This window comes from Homo sapiens, chromosome 5 (assembly GCF_000001405.40).
Source record: "Homo sapiens chromosome 5, GRCh38.p14 Primary Assembly".
Taxonomy (NCBI): domain Eukaryota; kingdom Metazoa; phylum Chordata; class Mammalia; order Primates; family Hominidae; genus Homo; species Homo sapiens.
Window position 1 is genome coordinate 172,617,640 of NC_000005.10, and position 20,941 is coordinate 172,638,580.

The following is a 20,941-nucleotide window of genomic DNA, read 5'->3' on the forward strand; positions in this document are numbered from 1 at the left end:
AACCTGGGAGGCAGAGGTTGCAGCGAGCCGAGATCGCGCCGCTGCACTCCAGCCTGGGCAACAAGAGCAAAACCCCATTTCAAAAAAAAAAAAAGAATTTTCTAACTCGAACCATCATTTCCCACTAAATCGAACTCAAGAAGAAATGTCTTCCCCCCAAGCCAGGACACCTGGAAGCCTGGAAATGGTGAGTGTTTGGGGACAGCTACCCGAGATCCGGCAGGGGCTGATTGGAAACGGCCAGAACCGGCTGTGGCAGGACCCCAGGCTCCCTGCAGGCGACTTCGGGATTTGGGACCCGAGTTCTGGCGCAGTTCGGCCCTCGAGCTCCTCGGCCTCAAGGTGGGGTTGGGCCAGCAACCGGGACCCGGGGCGTTCTGTCCCGTCCCTGCCTGGCGACTGCGGCCCGGAAGCCTTCTCTGAGCAGCTCCGCGCCCGCAACCTCACAGTCTTCCCAGATTGTGCGGGGGCCACACATGACATAAGGAGAGTCCTGCCTTGGGTGTAGGGTTCGTGTGGGAGGAGCTGCGGTCCGTGGGGTCCCCAGTACGTTTTCTTTCTGTTAAAAATTAAACTGAGGAGCTTCTGGGTTGCTGAACACATGGGCGAGGCTGGGATGGTGGGACGCCCAGAGAGAGCAGGGAAGCGCTGTATCCCCCACTCCACATCTTGCTCTGTCATTCTCAGCATCTGGTGTTCATCTACATCCTTCGTAATGTCCTTTGTAATATATAGGTAAACAAAAAAAATTAAACTGAGGCCCTAAAAAAAAAAAAGAAATGTCTTCCTCCCTTCCCTTCGTTTTCTCCTCTAAGAACAGCTTTTAAAAATATGGTATTAATGTGGTTTTTAAAGCCTGCAAGCTAGTGTGACTAGAGATAAAAATCCTATGAGAAATATGTTCTGACAGACTGAATTACATCTTATTTGCTAAGAAGGGAAGGAACGCTTATTGAACACGTGCTATGCGCCAGGCCTAGGGCCTGCCACTCTGCCTCCAATCACTCCCTTCATCCTCAACAACGCAAAAGTAGGTATGATAATTTCCCAGGTGAGGGATGAGGCCCAGAGAGCCCAAGGGACTTGCCCAGGTCACACAGCAAGTTGTGTCTGGGCCAAGGAATGGCGCCCAGGAGCCCTGACTCAGAAATGGAGTAGGGGTCTCCTCCTCTGGGGGATGCAGGAGGCTAAATGAGTCCTTTCTGGAAACAGCTAGCCCGGTGAGCCAAAGATGGTCTTTCCTCACCTTCACCTCACTCTGCTTAACTCAGCTCTGTGCACACAGTGGGTCCTTCTTACCTAATGACTTCTGGGCTTCGTCCATCTGTTCCTTTGTTCATTTGTTGAGCACCTACTGTGTGCTGGCTCTGTGCTAGGAGCCAAGGACATAGCAGCGGGCAGATGCTGTCTTAGTTGGTTTGGGCTGCCATAACAAAACACCATAGACTGGGTGGCTCACAACAACAGATATTTATTGCTCCCAGTTCTGGAGGCTGGGAGGTCCAAGATCAAGGCGCCAGCAGATTCCGTGTCTGGGGAGGGTCTGCTTTCTGGTTTCAGAGATGGCACCTTCTTGCTGTGTCCTCACACAGTGGAAGGGGTAAGGCCGCTCTCTGGGGTCCCTTTTATAAGGGCGCAAATCCCTCATGGCCTAATCACCTTCCAAAGGTCCCACCTCTTCATACCATCACATTGAGAACTAGGATTCCAACAGAGAGGAATTGCTGGGGGATACCATCATGCAGACCTTAGTAGATGGTTGTGGCCGCTGCCTGCATGAGCTCACAGACTAGGGGAAAAGGCAAGAATCAAATAAGCTCATGATTAAATGCACACTGGGACCCATGAAAACTGTCACTAAGAACAAATGGAGGCAGGACACCATGGTTCATGCCTGTAATCCCAGCACTTTGGGAGGCCGAGGCAGGCAGATCATGAGGTCAGGAGTTCCAGACCAGCCTGGCCAACATGGTGAAACCCCGTCTCTACTAAAAATACAAAAATTAGCCGGGTGTGGTGGCGGGTGTCTGTAATCCCAGCTGCTTGGGAGACTCAGGCGGGAGAATTGCTTGAACCCAAGAGGTGGAGGTTACAGTGAGCTGAGATTCCACCACTGCACTCAAGCCTGGGTGACAGAGCAAGACTACATCTCAAAAAAATAAATAAATAAAAAATTAAACAACAAAAAGAACAAGTGGAGAGGGGTCCATGAAGTTGGAGCAAGTGGGGAGGGAAGGGAAGGGAGGTAAAGGCACTGCTTCCTTGAGGTCTTCAGGGTGCTACCTGGGCAAAGGAGGAGGGATGGGAAAGACCAGGTGCCTGGAGAGACAGAACTGAGAGTGGAGAGATAAAGTCAGAAGACAAACAGAGGTCAGGCCAAGCCAAGATCAGTGGGTCACAGGTGGGAACTGGGGTTTGATCCCAGGATGATAGGGAGTCACTGAAGTGTTTTAAACAGGAGTGTGAGATGATGGGATTTGTGTGGATGGCACTCTAGGTGCTGTGGAGGGGAGAGGTTGTTGTGTGCGATGGGTTAGCATTAAGTTTGGAGGAGCTGCCTGGATCAGATGCTGGGAAGGCAGAAGGCACTGGGACAACAGACACACAGTGCAGCCGCAAGGAATATCAGTCTCCTCCAATATCCCTCTGCTTCCTCTGCACCCCTGCTCTTTAAGAGACTTGTAAGAAATGTTGGTCCCTTTCATTATTCCTACCAGGGACCCTGACATAGTCCCCACCTGTAACCCTTACAGGCCACTTCCCCACATTCCACACATGCTCACCCCCCGCAACAGGCCTGAGAGCCAGGTGGTATTTGATACCAGTTTTACAGAGGTGCGAGCTGAAGGTGGACGCTGAGAAGCAAACTGCCCTAGGTCATTGGCTTCTAAGAAGTGGAGCAAAAATTGAGGCAGGTCCTAGTGGGTAGATTCTTTCAGCCTCACTGTCAGTTCATTGGAAAACAAACTTGTGCTTCCTGAAAGAGCAGAAGGAAGTACATGTCCACCCGGCCACAGCCTGCCACTCCCCCTGGCTGCTGCCATGGCAGGGCTGTGGGCCCCCCGAGGGCCGGGGCCTGCCTTCATTCAACAGTGGGCACTTTGTAAGTGCCAGATAGACGGATGTGACATCGCAGCAGCCCGCTCATTGGGGAACATGTCTCTTTCCTCTCTGTCCTTCAATTCATTTGTCACTTGCTCAAAATCCCTCTCTGGCTCCCCATCATCCTCCACCAGACCTCTGAGGACCAGGGCCTCTCAGCAATCAGGCTCTCACTCCCCTCTCCAGCTTCGTGTTTGGGATAAAGGATGTTTGAGGAGCCATAAGAACATCAAGCAAGGTTGTAAAAAAGAGAGCTCAGGAGTGAGGCCCAGGCCTTTTGGTTTTTCTATAAACCATTGCTAGACCACCCGCTAAGTGCCAGGAATGTACACAGAAGCACTGTCCACCCCTGCACCTACAGCCAGCAGCTCGCAGCAGTGCCTAGAACCCCACCATTAGAGCCACTCCTTTGCAGGAAGTTATGATCTCCCCACAGACCTCAGGAACATGCAGAATGATGGACAACCCACACCCACGCTGTAGACCTGTACGCTACCGTCCAAAGAGGGCTGGGTTCTCAGGGAACTGCCTCACAACCTGCAGCAAGCACAACTCGAAGAGCTGTGGGAACAGGAAAACGAGTTTGAACTCAAGTGGAAATGAAAAGGTAGCCAGCCTGGGTGCAACTGTGCTATCTGCTAAGAAACATTTGGGGTGGTGTGCTTGCTATTGTACTGCTTTCCCACTTTACAACCAGAAGGGCACTGATTGGGCATTTTACAGAGACTCCCTCGGGCCTGTCCTGCTGGTCAAGACAAACTTTTTTTTTTTTTTTTTTGAGATGGAGTTTCGCTCTTTTTGCCCAGGCTGAAGTACAATAGCACAATCTCGGCTAACTGCAACCTCCAGCTCCCAGGTTCAAGCGGTTCTCCCCGCCTCAGCCCCCGGAGTAGCTGGGATTACAGGTGCCCACCAACTCGCCCAGCTAATTTTTTGTATTTTTAGTAGAGATGAGGTTTCACCAAGTTGGCCAGGCTGGTCTCAAACTCCTGACCTCAGGTGATCCACCCGCCTGAGCCTCCCAAAGTGCTGGGATTACAGGCGTGAGCCACCGTGCCCAGCCACGAACTTCGACTCTAAGGCTGAGAGCAGCACTTTGCAGCATTCCCGACAATGGAATCACAGGATGGGCTTATAAGAATGCAGATTCCAGGGCCTCGCTCACACCTGCAGAATCAGGGTCTCTAGGGCAGGGCCAGGGAGTCTGCATTTCAAATACACGACCCTTCGTGACTCTTATGCCCACTGAGGCCTGAGAGGCCCTGACACAGGAAGAAGCCCTCAGGGTGATTCTATCTGTATCACTGCAGACAGACAGGAGGATTCTATCTATGTTGCTGCAGACGACTCAGTTGCTCTCCTTGGAGAACTTATTAACCCCTTTCTGGGCCACGCTGCAAACAAGAGTTCCTCCTACTGAGATCTGAGGCTGGGAGAGCCACAGACGGGGTTGTGTCTGGGCTGGGTCGGGGAAGGTGGACTGTAACTCACCAGGCGGAAGTGGAGTGGATGACCAGGAAGGGCACTCCAGGCAGAAGGAACAGCCTGCACAGAGGCTGGAGGCTGAAAGCACCATGGAGAGGAGAGGGAGCTGTATATACTAAGCGGTTTGGAGGACCGCTGTTGGGGGTCATCACTGGTCCTCTCTGAGCAGGATCATCTTTGTGAGATGAGAGTAGGTTTTGGTTTTGTCAATTCTGCAAGACACACGGGTTCGCATTTCGACCCGTCTGAGATCGGAATGCCCTTTACAACAAACAGCATCTCGGGTTGGGCAATGCTGTGACCGCACCTGCCTCCCACGGCCACTGGGAGGGTTTCAGGGGAGAACGGAAGGAAAGCACCTCAGTGGCGTTTGGCACGGCAGGAGCCCCATCAGTGTGAGCTACACTCTGAGCTGGTGAGACCCTTTGGGAGCTGGCTTGGAGATTTCTTAAAGGGCTCCTCTCCTCCCACTTTCGTTCCAATGCCCTTTATGGCCCCAGCAATGCCCCGTAATAACTTGACTTTATGACAACAAACTCAGGTGAGCTGCTAGTCACAGCTGCTGGCTCAAATGGCACAATCATCTGTGTGGGTGGAGTTCTGGTTCCATCACCCGTGGGCTGGGATCAAAGGCCTGTCCTTGCTGCCTGGCAACCCCCGCACTAGTTAATTAGGAGAACATTCAGCCTTTCCTTCCCTGTCCCATCAAGGTTTATTACTGAGGAGCAAAGGAGGGTGTGGGCTCAGTGCTGGGTTCCCAGCCCCAGACACATGCTGGGGCCTCATGGGGCCAGGCAGGGTGCCTACAACTGGGCTGTCGTGACCTTGGGCAAGTCACTGAACCTCTCTGAGCCTGTTTCTTAATCTCTAAAATCAGGGAAAGGGCAAAGCTTTGGTGAGAGTTGCTGTGAGGAACCATTCATTTGTATATTTAACAGATATTTATTGAGCACCTACTGTGTGCACTTAGGCTCCAAAGATACATCTATGAACAAGGCAGGTGAGATGCCTGTCATGTTGCTGACCTTCCAGTGGGAAGGAAGACAATACATGGGTAACCCTATCAATATAGTTTCAGCGTCTTTGAAGAAAATAAAGCAGGGGGCTGAGATAACCCCTTGCTGGAGGGAGAAGGAGCAGGAAACTTAAGTCTATCTAGTCTGAGAGGCCCCTGGGAAAAGGTCACACTTGAGCTGAGCCTCTACTGGTAAGATGAAGCTGCTTTGGAGATCTAGGGAAAACACTTCAGGTAGGGGAATGGCAGGTGCAAAGGCCCTGAGGCTGGGTGAGGCCCAGTGTTGCTTAAAGAGCAGAAGAACGCTGGTGTGGCAGGACCAAAGTGAACACAGGCCAGGGTGGTGGGAGATAGATGAGAGGTCCACAGGGACCAGATCACAGAGGGCCAAGTGGGCAGGTCAGAAAGTGGACTTCTATCCACAGAGCAAGGGGACACCAGTGGAGGGACTCAACCAGGGCCATGCCATGGAGTGAGGACTCTGGCCCTGAGAGAATAGATCCAGGAAGCCCGGCTCGGTGGCATAGATCTCACTATGACTACTATCTCATCCCTGGGAGATCAGGAGAGCTGGGATCCCTCACACAGACCACTAGGATTGAGCACAGTCCTCCCACACCCACTGAGCTCGCGGATCTGTTCCCCTTATCCTGACGCCCCAAATGGTGATTCACGTAATGCGACAGTCAATAGCTGATGCACTCAGGTTAAATTTATGCAGACCTCGTGTGATATTAAAAATCCAGGGAGCATATATTTTGAGCACAGTGGATGCCAAAATGTATCCGCTTTATTTAAGGAATTATTGGGCTGGTGTGAGCGGATGTTTATCTGAGCTTTTGCTCCCAGTGGGGGAGAAACAGGTATGCACAGCTTGGTTGCTAAAGATAGGGGAATCCTCAGTCTGTTTTCATGTAATGGGTCCTGAAATATCACCCCCCACGTTTCCCACCCCCACCTCGGGCTGAGCAGCAGAGCAGATTCACAGAGATCTGGCTGCGGAAGAGCTTTGCCTGGGAAAGGATTTGAGACCACACGGCCTCGCTTCAGGGTCAGCAGCTGCTGAATAAATTCACACACTCAGTGCACGCCTGTAATCAGGTCCCTCTGCAAGGCAGGTCTTTGGAGTCCCAATCCCCTGCTTGAACCTGACTCTGTTTCCCCTGTGTAAACTTGTGCTAGGACGCTGGGTCCAGGTGGTTGCCTCTACCCCTAGAAGACAGGGGCAGTAAGGCCCACCTTGCAGGCTGTTGAGAGGCTGGAAGTGGTGAGGCTCAGAAGTGAGATCTGTGCTATTAGCAGATCCGCTCATCCCAGGGTCTTCCCTGGTTCTAGTGGGGGCAGGGTCTTCAGAGCCTGACTGCCTTTGGCCAGTGGCCAGAACAGAGCCAGGAGGAGGGTGAGGCGCTTGCTGCTCGGAGAGTCCTAGATGAGTCCATTTTACAGATGGCACAGAGGCCTGGGAGGCGAGGCTGAAGGTGGCCTGGCTGAGCCTGGCCCCGGCCTTCGTCCCCCTCTGACCTTCCCCGCTGAGCCATCTGCCAGCCTGCACTCTCCACGCTAGCTGTCTGCCTGGGCATCCCTTGCATTCATTCAGTTACTCCATCATTCATTCATTCATTCATTCATTCATTCATTCAGTTACTCCTTTCATGCATTCATTCACTCACTAATATTCAGCAACTGTTCTTGGGCCATTTCACAGCCCTGGTTCAAGGCCTTAACTGGGGCATCCGAGGCCGGGAAATTTAGACTGCAGAGGGCTTTGCCCCCCAGCTGGGCTGGGCAGGAGCTCCACTCTCTGACAGTGGCTCAGAGTGGCCTCAGGTGAGGCTGGGAGACTGGACAGATAGGGAAATGGAGGGAGCTGGGGAGGCTCCCCCAGGACGGGGCTGGGCAAGACTCCTTCTGAGCTAACGTCTGCCTCTTTCCCACAGTCTTCCAGGAAGAGAGGAGCACTTCAACCTCTAGTTATGGTGAGGTTGGCAGTCAGCTTCAGCTGGTGACACTTCAGGGTCAAGGACTTTGGGCACAGAAAGATCTGGGTGAAATCTCTGGGTGAAATCTCTCAGCTTGGCCACCACCCTTCCCTCAGGTAATACCCAGGTCATTTGAAAAGACACCTCCCAGCTCATGCAGTCCCCTCTGCCTGGTGTACCCTTCCTCACACACCCACCTGGCTTCCTTCCCGCCCCTCACAGATCCCCTCACAGGTCCCCTTTGCAGAGAGGCCTTCTCTGATCACCCTGGATGGAGGGGCCGCCCCCACCCACACATCGTGCTGATTCTTTTGTCTCAGTCCACATAGCCCCCTTCCTTAGGTCAGGGACCCCAGCTCCCCTCTGAGTGGGGGAGGACAGTGGTCAGTGGCCAACTTTCCTCCCGATGGGACACACCCACCGGCTTCAACTTTGGTGAGGGAGGAATGGGGAAAGGGGATTCACAGTGTGGAATGTTCTGAGATCAGTGCTATTCCTAGCCCCATTTAGCAGGTGAGGAAATGAGGCTCAGAGAAGTAAAGCACTTGCTTGAGGTCACACAGCAGGAGCAGAGAAGGGTGCACACCCAGGTTGGTTGACTGAAGCCCTGGCTGTTTTCTCCTGGGGAGGTTTGTGAAGAGGTAAGGGGATGACTAGAACACATAGCAAACTGGCTGCAGTAGAGACTGACTGAGCGCGCAACTTCACTTCAATCTTTCTACCACCCGGGCACTATTTGAATTTTTAAAAAAATTAACTACTGAGTCTTTTGTATTGGCAGTTTGCTGAAAAGAGATATAAAGGACAGAGTGGCCCAGGGCCTGCTGTGTGAAGTCTCCTGCTCGGTCTCTGTCCCCAGGCTGGGTGGCAGGGTGGCTTTCCCCTCCCCGACCCCCATCTGGCGAGGACAGGGCCTGTGTTGCTGGGAGACCCTGGCGATCATAAGGGATGGGGTGGAGGATGGTGGCAGATGGGTGGGCACAAGGCCCTTTCAAGGCAGCTGTTAGGATAGGGGCCTGCTTTGTGGGGTCTTTTCAAGAGCTGTGGCCACACACAACAGGGGATCAGAGAAGCCCCTTTCTTTGCTTTCTTCTTCCACACCTGCTCAGCCACCTGTTCCTCCAAAGGCTCCGGCCTCTCTCCTTCTCCTCTTGCTGACTCCACTGGGCTCCTCCTCCCTCTCCTGAGCCTCTTCCTGCTCCCCCACTGAGGCCCTCAGGGCTCCTTACAGACCAGACACCTGCCCTTCTTCCTCCACAAATCCTCAGCGCAGCACACAGCTTGGCTCCCAGGCCTTTGCCTGTGCTGTTCCTCCCCCATGAGTGCCCTTCCCGCTTGTCGTCACTTGTCAGAGTCTACTCACACCCCTGTTAAGAAAGAGCTCTTCTGGCCTGGCGCGGTGGCTCACGCCTGTAATCCCAGCACTTTGGGAGGCTGAGGAGGGTGGATCACCTGCGGTCAGGAGTTTGAGACCAGCCTGGGCAACATGGAAAAACCCCATCTCTATTAATAATACAAAAATGAGCCGGGGGTGGTGGTGGGTGCCTGTATTCCCAGCTACTCAGGAGGCTGAGGCAGGAGAATAGCTTGAACCTGGGAGGCAGAGGTTGCAGTGAGCCAAGAGCGTGCCATTGCACTCCAACCTGGGTGGCAGTGTGAGACTCTGTCTCAAAAAAAAAAAAAAGAAAGAAAAGAAAAGAAAGTGCTCTTCGTATTTGGGGTTCACATAGCCCCTAAGAGAATTTTGAAAACCACGTCCCCCACACAAACGCTTTTAGTTGGCATCTGAATGTTTTATCCTAAATGTAAATAGTTGCAAAGGTAATTTCTAGCGTGCTGTATGCTGAACATGCGCTTTAAATAAAATCTCACCAAAACCTTGGAGCTGTGGATTCCGCTCACTTATTTGCCTGAAAACTCTTCCATGCACACTGAGCGGCAAAGCCACTGCTCTCCACCGCACCATGCAGCCAGGTCAGGCTGACTTTCAGGCAGGAACTATATGAGTTCATTTTCTAATCTGCAAACATGCTAATATGCATGTCTGCATCACCTCTCTCTTCTGAATTTTATTTCTAAGTCTAAGACGGACAGGGCATTTGGCACCTGGATGGAACGAGGCTTCATCCTTCTGGCTTTCTCATGATGCTGTCTTGCTCTCCTGCCTGGGGATGCTTCCTTAGCACCTGGATGCAAATTGCCTTCCATTTAGTGCCCTGGAAGACGTTCTTTTAAACTTCTTATTGTGAAATTCCACACACAGAGAGAGGGCCCATTGTGTACGGATAAAACTCACGTGAAAACTAAAATGTGCAGTTCAATAATTGATCAAAAAGCAATCATCAAGTGAAGAAATAGAACATTTCTAGCTCCCCAGAACCCAGCCTTGGGCCACTGCTAATCACTACTCCTCCCTCTTGTTCAAAGGCAATCACCGTCCTGCATTTTACGATAGGCATTTCTTGCTTTTCTTTTGAGTTTTATCACCTACACACGCTGGGCTTTGAACATCATGTAAGTGGAGTCCCGTAGTATGCATTCTTTTGTGTCTGGCTTCTTTCACAGAACATTATGTGTGTGAATCACTCGGGTCGCTGTGTGTAGCTGTATTTTGTTTTTTCTCATTACGGCATAGTATTCCACTTTGTAAGGGTCTCCTAACTTATTGATCCAGTCTATAGTGGATGGACATTTGGGTTGTTCTCAGTTTGGGGCCATTTTGAATAGCATTTGATGAAAGCTATGATGCATTCATCAGCAGGTCTTTAGGTTCACATAAGTAAGCATTTCTGTTTGGCCTATGCCCAGGAGAGGAATTGCTGGATCATGGGGGTAGAAGTATGTTTAACTATGATAGATACTGCCAAATACTTTTCTAAAGTGGTTGTACCATTTTACACTCCCATCAGCCAGGTAGAAGAATTCCTGTCAACTCTTGGTATTGTCAAAATTTCTTCACATTTCTGTCAACTCTTGGTATTGTGAAAATTTTAAATCTCAGCCAATCTAGTTGGGGTGCTGTGGTTATTTCATTGCGACTTTAATTTTAGTTTTCCTGGTTATTGACAAGATTCAGTATCTTTTATATATTTATTGGCTATTGGAACATTCTTGTTGTGAAGTACCTGGTTTTGCTCATTTTATATTGAGTTGTTAGTTTTTGTCATATTTTTAGTTGTGTTTATTCTGGGGGAAAAAGTAGGCTCTCTTGTAGTTGTATGTGGGCAAAGTATCTTTCCCCACTCTGTAACCTGCCTTTTCACTCTCCTTTGAATGTCTTTTGACAGAAAGAATTTAAATTTCAATGGAGTTGATTTCATCAATCCTTTTGGTATGGCCACCACTTCCTGTGCCGTGTTGAAGAATCTGTCTACTGCTCTGAAGGCATAAAGCCGTTCTCTACTTTCTAGAAGTTTTACATTTTGTCTTTAACATGTATGTCTACAATTCCCCTGAAATTGATGTCATGAATGGTTTGAGGTCGGGATCAAGCTCCATTTTTTTCCATATGGATGGCCAATTCACCCAGCACTGGTCATTGAAAAGCTTGGCCTCTCTCCCAATACTTGGCAGTGTCACATTTGTCATAAAACATGCATCCATTTATGTCTGACTTTTTTATTCTATCCCATAGATAGATCTATTTGTCTATCCTTGTACCAACACTGCACTTATTTACCATCGCTTTATAATAGGTTTTGATAGCCAGAAGAGCTATCAACTCTTCTGGCTAAAAGTTCTTCCTTTTCAAAAATTGGTTATCCTTTACCCTTTGGGTTTCTACATACATTTTTTTGAAAACTAGAATTTGTTTTCCAAGTTAAACACACACACACACACACACACACACACACACACACACCCCTGTTAGGATTTTGATTAGAGGTGTATGTGTTGAATCTATAAGTCAGTTTGCAGAGAATTGACTTATTTAAAATATTGAGTGGTCCCACCATGAATATGATATATCTATTCATTTATTTTAGCATTTTTTGCTTCCTCTTAATAATAATCTATAGTTTTCTGAGTATTTTTTAGGTGAACCAATTTTTAAAAATCTATTAAGTGAATGATAGTACCGGCAACATTTGAATATGGAAAATCACGAAGACAGCCTCCATCCAGCAATGTTTCCAGGATGTTTTCTCTGTACCTCCAGCTGGCCTGGTATCAAAGGGACTTCAAACTGTACCTATGTCTGGGCCCTGCCCCTGGCCCTTCTTCCCCTGCCCAATCAGAGGCTAGCCCAGAGCTGGGGCCCCTAATAAACATGTACTGAAGTGAACACTGTCGGTCACAGGCTCAGCCCCCAGTGTTCAACTCATTACTAGAAAACTGACAATCCAATCCATGCCAACATGCTAAGGACAAGTCTGTTTCAGCTCACTGTATAAAACTGTATTATTTCAAAAGTAGTCTATTGAGTTCTCTCCCATTAGAAAAGTTTTGGTCAGGTGTTGTGGCTCACACCTGTAATCCCAGGACTGTGGGAGGATCACTTGAGCTCAGGAGTTTGAGAGCAGCCAGGGTAACATAGTGAGGCCTTGTCTCTTAAAAAAAAAAAAGAAAAAATTAGCTGGGCATGGTGATGCACGCCTGTGGTCCCAGCTACTTGGGAGGCTGAGATAGGAGGATTGCTTGAGCCCAGGAGCTTAAGGCTGCAGTGACCCATGATTGCAGCACTGCACCCCAGCTTAGGTGACACAGTGAGACTCTGCCTATCTCAAAAAAGAAAAAAAGTTTTATACATACTCATTACAGAATATTTAGAAATTGGCCAATAGGTAGAAAAAGGTGGAAAAAAATCACCCATATTCCTGTTCCTCAGAGATCATCACTGGCCATGTTTTGCTATGTTGCCTTTCACCTTGTTTCTATACACATTTTATGTTTGCTTATTTTCTTTTTACAAGCTTGAAATCACCCTGAGTTTAGAGTTCTGTGTTCAGCCTTTCTCACTTAACATTAAAACAGCCTTCTCCCTGCGACTCTAAACCCTTTGGGAATATCACAGCCAGGAGCTCTGTGATTGTATTGAGTGGCTTGCCTGTTTACTAAGCCACTGCCCTGTGGTAGGAAGTGTTTGTGACTTTATTCAGGTGTACGTGGTGTACAGTGAGCGTCTCTGGCCATCAATTAGCTTTGTCCCTATCTATCTGGGATTACATCCTCAGGACAGGTTCCTAGAAGTGGATTCCAGACTTGAAGAATGTGAGCAGAAGCCTATGAGGAGTTTAACAGCGGGAGTTCGAACCTGCAACTGTGGCTGTCATGGGGCACCTGTTTCTTGAGGATTTACTATTGCCAGACACTTGTGTAAATGCTGAAGCCTTATTAACTCATTTAATGCTCATGGCCCCCTCAGCTAGTTTCTGTTATTTGACTCATTCTACAGATACAGAACCTGCAGCACAGACAGGTCACGTGACCAGCCCAAGGTCACACCTGGTAAGTGCCCAAGCTGGGACTCAACCCTGGACCCTCAGGCTTCAGGACCCTGCCCTGACACCACAGGCAAATGGAGGATCCCGTTGGCTCCTTGAGACACTCGCACCTCCTCTCGTGGGCTTCTTCCTCTTGGCCTAAGGAATCTCTTCCTTCTGCAGGCGAGGAGTGAGGTGGAGGACGGGCCTGAGTCCACTCTGTCCCAGCTGCTTAGCCAAAGGGCAAAGCCTTCACCTCTCCGAGCTGCAGTTTCTTCATCAGTGAAACGGGCAAAGAGGGTCCCATAAATCTGAAAAGAGGCCACAAAAGGGGAATGGCTCTGTGAACTCGAAAGTGCTCCCAGGTGCTGGGTTCCCACAGATGGGCTGTCTGCTGCATGAATTTGCTTGGGGAAGGAAGAAGTCTCTGTCCCTGTCACCCACTCCTGGCTGGCCCAAGCCTGGAGTTCTTCCCACTTCACCTCGACTGACTGATTTTCTCAGAGCAGCGTCCTGACACCAGCTGGGCTGTGATGGGCAGTCCTTGCTGGTGGCTGAGTGGGAGTGGCTGCTCATCCCATGGTCCCCAGCGTCTGAAGCTAGGTGCTGCACAGAACAGGCGCTCCAGCAGCAGTCATGGGAGGCAGTTTCAGAGAGCCCTCCTGGGGTGTCACCCAGTTAAGATGCCGGTGGTAGCAAAGCAAACAGGAGTGGCAGGGGGCCAGAGATTATCATTTTACACCTCTGATGGCATTAATGACTCTCCTTTATACAGTGTTCTTGTGTCCCAAGAGTTCGGCCTGTCACTGAGACCCCACTGCTCTGAGCAAGGTAAGGTCACTTGCCCAGGTCACACTGCAAGTAAGAAGGAGAGTTGGGATTTAAACCAGGGTCTGTGTGACCAAATGCTGGATTCCCAACGTGGCCCCATATATCCCACCGCAGGACTGTGATGCCCACAGCCTCAATGTCACAGTCTCATGAGAATCCCATCTGATCCCCACAACAGCCTTGCAGCCCTGATCTTTTCATGGCCATTTTACAGATAAGGACACTGAGGCCTGCCTGAGGTCCCCCTAGATGGGTAAATGCTGCAGCCTCAGCTGGTCCTGGGTTTTCTGAGTCCCGGCCAATGCCCAAACTCCTCCAGCCTCCCAGGACAGACATGTCCCCTCGAGAAGAGCAGACAAAGTGATGAAGAACGGGCCTGACATGGTGGCTCATGCCTGTAATCTCAGCACTTTGGGAGGCTGAGGTGGGCGGATTACCTGAGGTCGGGAGTTCAAGACCAGCCTGGCCAATATGGCGAAACCCCATCTCTACTGAAAATACAAAAATTAGCCAGGTTTGGTGACGTGCACCTGTAGTCCCAGGAGGCTGAGGCAGGAGAATCAGCTTGAACCCAGGAGGTGGAGGTTGCAGTGAGCTGAGATTGTGCCACTACACTCCAGCCTGGGTGACTGGGTGAGACTCTGTCTCAAAAAAAAAAAAAAAAAAAAAAAAAAAGAAAAAGAAAAAGAAAAAAGAAGTGATGAAGAACAAAGACTTGGAGCATGAGCCAGATTGTGGTGGGAAGGCTCCAGTATGGGCTAGAGTGGCTCCTTGGATCCCTAAATAAATAAGGACCATGGTCCCTTGTCACAGAGAACAAACAGAGTCCCACCCTCTCTCCTGGGATAGTAATGGTGGTTCCCAGAAGACTGAGCCTTCACTCTGCACCAGCTCCTTCCCAAGCTTCATCTCATTTCATTCCCACTCTAGGTGTTCCTGTCCTCACTCTACAGATGAGGAGCCTGAGGCTCAGAGCAGGAACATGACATGGTCAGTATCCTCCCAGCTGGGTAGAAGGGGACTGGTTGCATACCCAAGCCAGGGGCCCAGAGCTGGCCTCTGTGGCATCTGTGCCAGAGCCAGAGGAAGGCCTGCGTCTACTCCCCAGGGAGCCCAACTGAGCCCACGGGTGGCACATGAGGACTGGCCTCCTGGACAAACAGAGCCCAGCACATTAAGGTTTGGCTCAGGAGGACACACATGTCCCTGCTGCCCAGGACCCCAGTTCTGCCCTAAATCCTTCCCAACTTGGGATCCCCCCACTCAGGTTCCTGCTGCAGCTCATGTTACCCTGGGTGCTTCTGTGACTCCGCTGATGCTCTGAGCCCATATGGCCCCAGCTCAAGGCAGCTGAGAAGTCCCGAAAGACCACAGAGCAACAGAGGCACCCAAAGGTTCAAAGCCCATCAGTCATGATTCACTTGCACAGTTCAGTGTGGCATCATCAAGCCCCTGGCTGGCCAACCCCTCTGGTTCCCTGCTTGGGTTCCCAACCACTTGGCTGCTCCTGACCCCGCCCAGCACCAAGACATGAAGACACCACAGTGATCAGGGCCAAGAGAGGCAACTTCACCTACTGGGCCTACCCTGTGTCCCCGCTCTGTTCTTTTCCTCTAGGAGAAATGTGCCTCCACCCAAGCAACTGACCCCAGGAATAATCATAATTAATAATAGTGGCGACTTCCCTTTATTAAGCACTTGCCATGTGCCAAGAACTCTTCTAAGTACTTGATACACATTATCTCATTTAATCCTCAAAACAATCCTATAGGGCTAGTACTATTATTAGCTGATTTTACACGTGAGAGAAGTAAGCACAGAGAAGTCGAATAACAAGCTCAAGGCCACATAGCTAGATAGGCAGGAAGCCAGATTATGAGCCCAGATGGTCTGGTTCCAGAACCTGACCCCTTAATGAATACCCTATAACCTGTGAGTGAATCCAGTCCCCACCACTGGGTTCATCCATCCACTCATTCATTCAGTAAACATTTATTGAGCACCTACTCTGTGCCGAGGACTTTCCATGCATTGCCTCATTACAAGTTTTATCACCTGTGAGGTAGATATTACTGTCATTCCCACTTTACAGATGAGGCAACTGATGTTCAGAGAGGTTAAGTACATGCACAAAGACACACAGCCAGCAAATTGTTCAGCAGGGCAGGAGGATGCAAGTGCTCAGCCTTCAGAAGGTGGCATGGGCCAAAATATAGTAGACCTGCTGTGCCCAGCCAGGAGGCCTGGGCTCTGCCCTGCTCACAGATGATCTCTCTATTTGGCAGAGGAGGTGGAGTGGCCGCAGAGGGCTGAAATGACTTGCCCAGAGTCACCCAGCCAGAGAGTGGCAGAACCAGGACTCCAACCCAGGCTGTTGGGCCCCATCTAAACCCTGTCTGCATGGGAAGGGATTTTTAGCAGAGAAGGGCTGCAATCAGCTTATGGGCATGCAGGGGTGGTCCGGTGGGGGAGATCCTGAGAAGGATAAGGCCTTCCCAAGCCCACATCTACTGACTGTTCACTGTGTGCCAGCCCCTTTTGATCAGTGCATCTATTTCTCCAAATGCCCTGTGACATAGACTGTCAGCAGCTCCATTTTACAAGTGTAGAAGCTGAGGCACAGAGAGGACATATAACCCTTAAGGTCACTCAGTTAGTAAGTAGCCAAGCCAGGATTTCAGCCTGGGTTCTTAAGTGCCACCCAATCCATTATTCCAGTTTTTCTTCGAAAGTCCACATCCCCCTGGGTGGGTTCTCTGCTGCTCCAGGAAGTCAGGAGGGGACAGTGGTTTATCCCAGGGCCAGACCAGGGCTGGGCACTGGACTCAGATGAATTAGCACAGCCCTGCCCTCAAGTTACTGCAGGTAGGATGAGCCAGGCCCTCCGCAAACTCTCAGCCATCTGAAGGGCCAAGAGGAGGAAAGCACAGACTCTGGGGTCAGAGTGGGCTGGGTTCTAGTCCTGATCCTGTCGCTCTTGGCTGTGTGGCCTTAGACAAGTTGCTTCACCTCTCTGAGCCTCCCAGCATGCACTGTAGAATGGAGATGATAACAACCCCTACCTTGCAGGAGGAGGTGAGGATTAAATGAGGAGACAAATACAAGAGTCTGAGAAGCAGCTCCTTAACCCTTAACCTCCTTTCCTGTTAATAGGGTTGTTATGAGGATGAAAGAAATCAGAGTCTAAGATGTTTAGCCAAACTGTTCTCTGTCTGTGTGACTGTGGCCAAGCTATGTACACTCTCTGGGCTTCAGTTTCCCCATCTGTAAAATGGGCACGTTGACAGTACTATCTCATAGGGTAATTGTGAGGTTAATACATCTATTGTGAGGCTTAGAACATACCTGGCACTTAATAAATGTTAGCTATGATGTATAGCAATTATTGTAATCATACAGTGAATGCCAGTTATTGGGATGATAGATTGATTTCAGTTCAATTCAACCCCTGCTGCAGGCTTCTGTCCCATGCCCATGACATGCATTTCAGAGCATCTAAGCTCTGTCCCTGTGTTGTGAGAAAGTTGAGTGTGGAGCACCCATGACCCCAGCTCCCAGTAGTGCTGCCTCCCTTGGATTTCAGGAAAATGTCAGTCCTTGGCCTTTTTAGATGTCTAGTATGGGACTATCCATCTAAATGCTGTTGATGCGTCTTTGGCCAAACTCAAGAAGAAGTTCTGTCTACTCAGCCTTCCTGTGTACCGCCGACGAGCTTCCTTTGGAGCCGGCCCCAGGACCAAGCCTGTGTCTGCATGCACAAGACAATGAAAACCAGGCGGTGAGCCTTCTTTCTTTTTTTGCCTTGGCTGCCAGGTACGTGCTGCCAGACTCCACCACATAAAAGTGACTTGCTCGGCCGGGTGCTGTGGCTCACGCCTGTGATCCCAGCACTTTGGGAGGCTGAGGCAGGCGGATCATGAGGTCAGGCGATCAAGACCATCCTGGCTAGCACAGTGAAACCCAGTCTCTACTAAAAATGCAAAAAAAAATTAGCCGGGCGTGGTGGCGGGCACCTGTAGTCCCAGCTACTCGGGAGGCTGAGGCAGAAGAATGGCGTGAACCCAGGAGGCGGAGCTTGCAGTGAGCCAAGATTGTGCCACTGCACTCCAGCGTGGGTGACAGAGCGAGACTCTGTCTCAAAAAAAAAAAAAAAAAGTGACTTGCTTATTGGGGACAGTGCAGTGGGAGCAACAGGGTTTTTTGGTTTGTTTTTACTTTTTCTTTTTAAATTTAAGATTCAGGGGGTACGTGCGCAGGCTTGTTACATGGTTATATTGTGTAATGGGGAGGTTTGGGCTCCTAGTGTACCATCACCCAAATTGTGAACGTTGTGCCCAATAGGTAATTTTCAGCCCTTACTCCCCTCTCACCATCCTGGCTTTGGGAGTCCGCAGTGTCTATCGCTTCCATCTTTATGTCCATGTGTACCTGTTGTTCAACCCTCACTTATAAAGTGAGAACATGTAGTGTTTGATTTTCTGATTTGTGTTTGTTTGTTTGTGGAGTCTCATTCTGTCCCCAGGCTGGAATGCAGTGGCACGATCTCTGCTTACGGCAACCTCCGCCCCCTGTGCTCAAGCGATTCTCCTGCCTCAGCCTCCTGAGTAGCTGGGATTACAGGCGACCGCCACCATGCCTGGCAATTTTTGTATTTTTAGTAGAGATGGGGATTCACCATGTTGGCCAGGTTGGTCTTGAACTTCTGACCTCAAATGATCTGCCCACTTCGGCCTCCCAAAGTGCTGGGATTACAGGCGCATGCTACCACACCTGGCTTATTTTTGTATTTTTAGTAGAGATGGGGTTTCACCATGTTAGCCAGGCCGGTTTTGAACTCCTGACCTCCAGTGATTTGCCTGTCTCAGCCTCTCAAAGTGCTGGGATTACAGGCATGAGCCACTGTGTCTGGCCAGTGTTTGATTTTCTGTTTCTGAGTTATTTCACTTAGGATAATGGCCTCCAGCCCCATCCCTGTTGCTGCAAAAGACATGATTTCATCCTTTTTTATGGCTGCATGGTATTCCACAGTGTATATGTACCACATTTTCTTTGTCAAATCAACTGTTGATGGACACTTAGTTTGGTTCAATGACTTTGCTATTGGAGCGCTGGTTTTGAAGCCCGAGGGATGCCGGCTCCTGGCTCCTCTGCTCACTGCTGTGCTACATCAAGCAAGTGGCCTCATCACCGGAGCTTGTTTCCTCTGCAGAGAGGACTAAGAACCCTCTGAGTTCTGCCCCCTTCTAGCTGTGTGACCTGGGCAGCTCTTTTCCATCTCTGAGCTTCAGCTTCCTCTCCTGCAAAATGGGAATTGACTTGTGTTAATGACCATGCCGCCATGCTGGGACAAGGATCACTCAGAGGGTGTAGCGTGGGGCCCACTATGCGGCTGGCACTTTGTAACCAGCAACTGAAAAATGATGCTTTTTCAGGTAAAGATCTGTTGGAAATTGAAGGTTTCGTAGTCAGGGTTTGTAGAAAAGCACAGCCTTCCTGCAGCCATTTTAAAACCGAGCTTTGCAGTGTGACTGCAGATACTCGGCTCTTGAGTTGTGAGGAGGAGGCTGGGCAAACACCCTGAAGGAAGGGGTCATTTCACGCAGGTATCTGCAGTGGGCATACCCCCTAGCCTGGCACAGCAGCTCAGTGTGCACCCTTTTTACAACATGCACCTGATTGCCTGTTATTGCATGGGGCAGGGCCTGCCAGGGCATGCCCCCAGGGAGCAATGCCAGGGAGCCCGGCCAGGGCACTCCCACTACCAACTGCCCCGGGAGGCTCTGCTGACGCTGCATAATCAAGAGAGACAGCCCCACCCAGAGGCCCCTGCAGCCCATGTATGGGTACTGGTGCTAAAGGAGGGTGGCACAGTCTGTGCAATTCTGGATGTGATTGGTAGAGATGTGTATGTGTGTGAAAGTCAAATCCAGGAGCTGCTGTGACTGGAGGCTGCTGCCCGGGCCGGAAGATGTCCCCACCCCATGCTCTGCCCCACAGGCTCTATGGCAGCCGTTAGTGTCTGCGGGTTCTGGTTCTGAGACCCCACCCGTTCCTCTGCAGCCCTGGTGTCCTGCCGCCTTGGCGCCTGGGCAGAGCTGTCCTCTCTAACTTTAAGGGACACTGCTTAGAAGATGAGGCTTGGATATGGGCACACGTAGGTTCACATCCCAACTCCTCTTAGCAGCTGCAGAGACTTAGGCATGTGACTTTACCTGTCTGAGGCTTGGTGTCCTCGTTTGGAAAATGGGGATGCTAGAACCTATCTCCTTGGATGTGGTATGACTATAATATTTGGAGAAGGAAGAGATTCACATTCCATCCCTGTGGTTATAAAGTCTCCTGTGCGGCAGGTGCTGAGTCCAACAGTCCCTTCCCTTCCCTTGTTGCTGTTAGACATAGTGCCTGGATCCCAGGCCCCTAATACATGCAGACAGCATTTCCACAGTGTCCCGGCCAGCCCTGCTTGGGAGCTAGTGGGAAGAGGTGAGATTGGGAGAGGCAACAAAAATGGGAGGCCCACATCCCAGGAGATCAGCTTGGTACACAAGCTGCAAAGACAGGGGAGCACCTCTGCAGTCCTCTCAGGGTCAGTAGAGGCAGGACCAATCAGACTCATAAACCTCAAACCATAAATCACCCCCATGGCTTCATGTGGGTTGTAGGGGCTCAGTGGATGATTGTACTGGAAGGTATACTTTAGAAGACATGTGACTCAGGAAGCCCCTCCTCAACTGCCTGGCAGGAAATATATGGTTTCTATTTGCACACCTCCTGGGACAGGGATCTCCCTCTCTCCCAAAGCCACCCTTCCACCTTCGTGGACTAGCTTTGTCCTCCTTCTCTAGTGTGGTGCCCAGAGCCAAAGCGACTTCTGGAATGGTCTAACCAACATGCACTGGAGCAGCAAGCCCCTCCTTTGTCCTAAAGACTATATTTCTGTTAATGCATCCCTATTTTGCTCATTTGCTTATTTTTCCCTGCACATATTACTATTCATCACACCAGGGTCTAGGGCTACTAATGGCAAAAACTCATTCTCTCACAGCTCTTTCTCTCCTCTCCCTTCTTATTACCTTTCTCCATTCCTTCTTTCTTCCCTCTCTCCT

At 50.3% G+C, this 20,941-nt stretch overlaps 1 long non-coding RNA gene across 2 annotated transcripts, besides 3 other annotated features; it reads left to right on the forward strand.

Moving 5' to 3' along the window:
- Positions 1-32: 32 nt before the first annotated feature.
- Positions 33-20,839, forward strand: LOC107986478 (uncharacterized). 2 transcript variants are annotated; one of them, XR_001742996.2, is made up of 3 exons: positions 33-187; positions 13,780-13,835; positions 14,766-20,839. It is a non-coding gene; the product is annotated as an uncharacterized LOC107986478 (long non-coding RNA). The 2 variants fall into 2 exon arrangements; XR_001742995.2 differs by lacking the exon at positions 33-187 and adding an exon at positions 12,986-13,029.
- Positions 4,443-5,128: an enhancer, noted in NCBI's record as "H3K4me1 hESC enhancer chr5:172049085-172049770 (GRCh37/hg19 assembly coordinates)". NCBI's record gives its function as "activates a minimal SCP1, AML or CMV promoter by ChIP-STARR-seq in naive H9 embryonic stem cells {active_cell/tissue: H9 hESC(naive)}" and the evidence as "EXISTENCE:reporter gene assay evidence [ECO:0000049][PMID:30033119]".
- Positions 8,611-9,265: an enhancer, noted in NCBI's record as "H3K4me1 hESC enhancer chr5:172053253-172053907 (GRCh37/hg19 assembly coordinates)". NCBI's record gives its function as "activates a minimal SCP1, AML or CMV promoter by ChIP-STARR-seq in naive H9 embryonic stem cells {active_cell/tissue: H9 hESC(naive)}" and the evidence as "EXISTENCE:reporter gene assay evidence [ECO:0000049][PMID:30033119]".
- Positions 12,910-13,410: an enhancer, noted in NCBI's record as "H3K4me1 hESC enhancer chr5:172057552-172058052 (GRCh37/hg19 assembly coordinates)". NCBI's record gives its function as "activates a minimal SCP1, AML or CMV promoter by ChIP-STARR-seq in naive H9 embryonic stem cells {active_cell/tissue: H9 hESC(naive)}" and the evidence as "EXISTENCE:reporter gene assay evidence [ECO:0000049][PMID:30033119]".
- Positions 20,840-20,941: the final 102 nt, after the last annotated feature.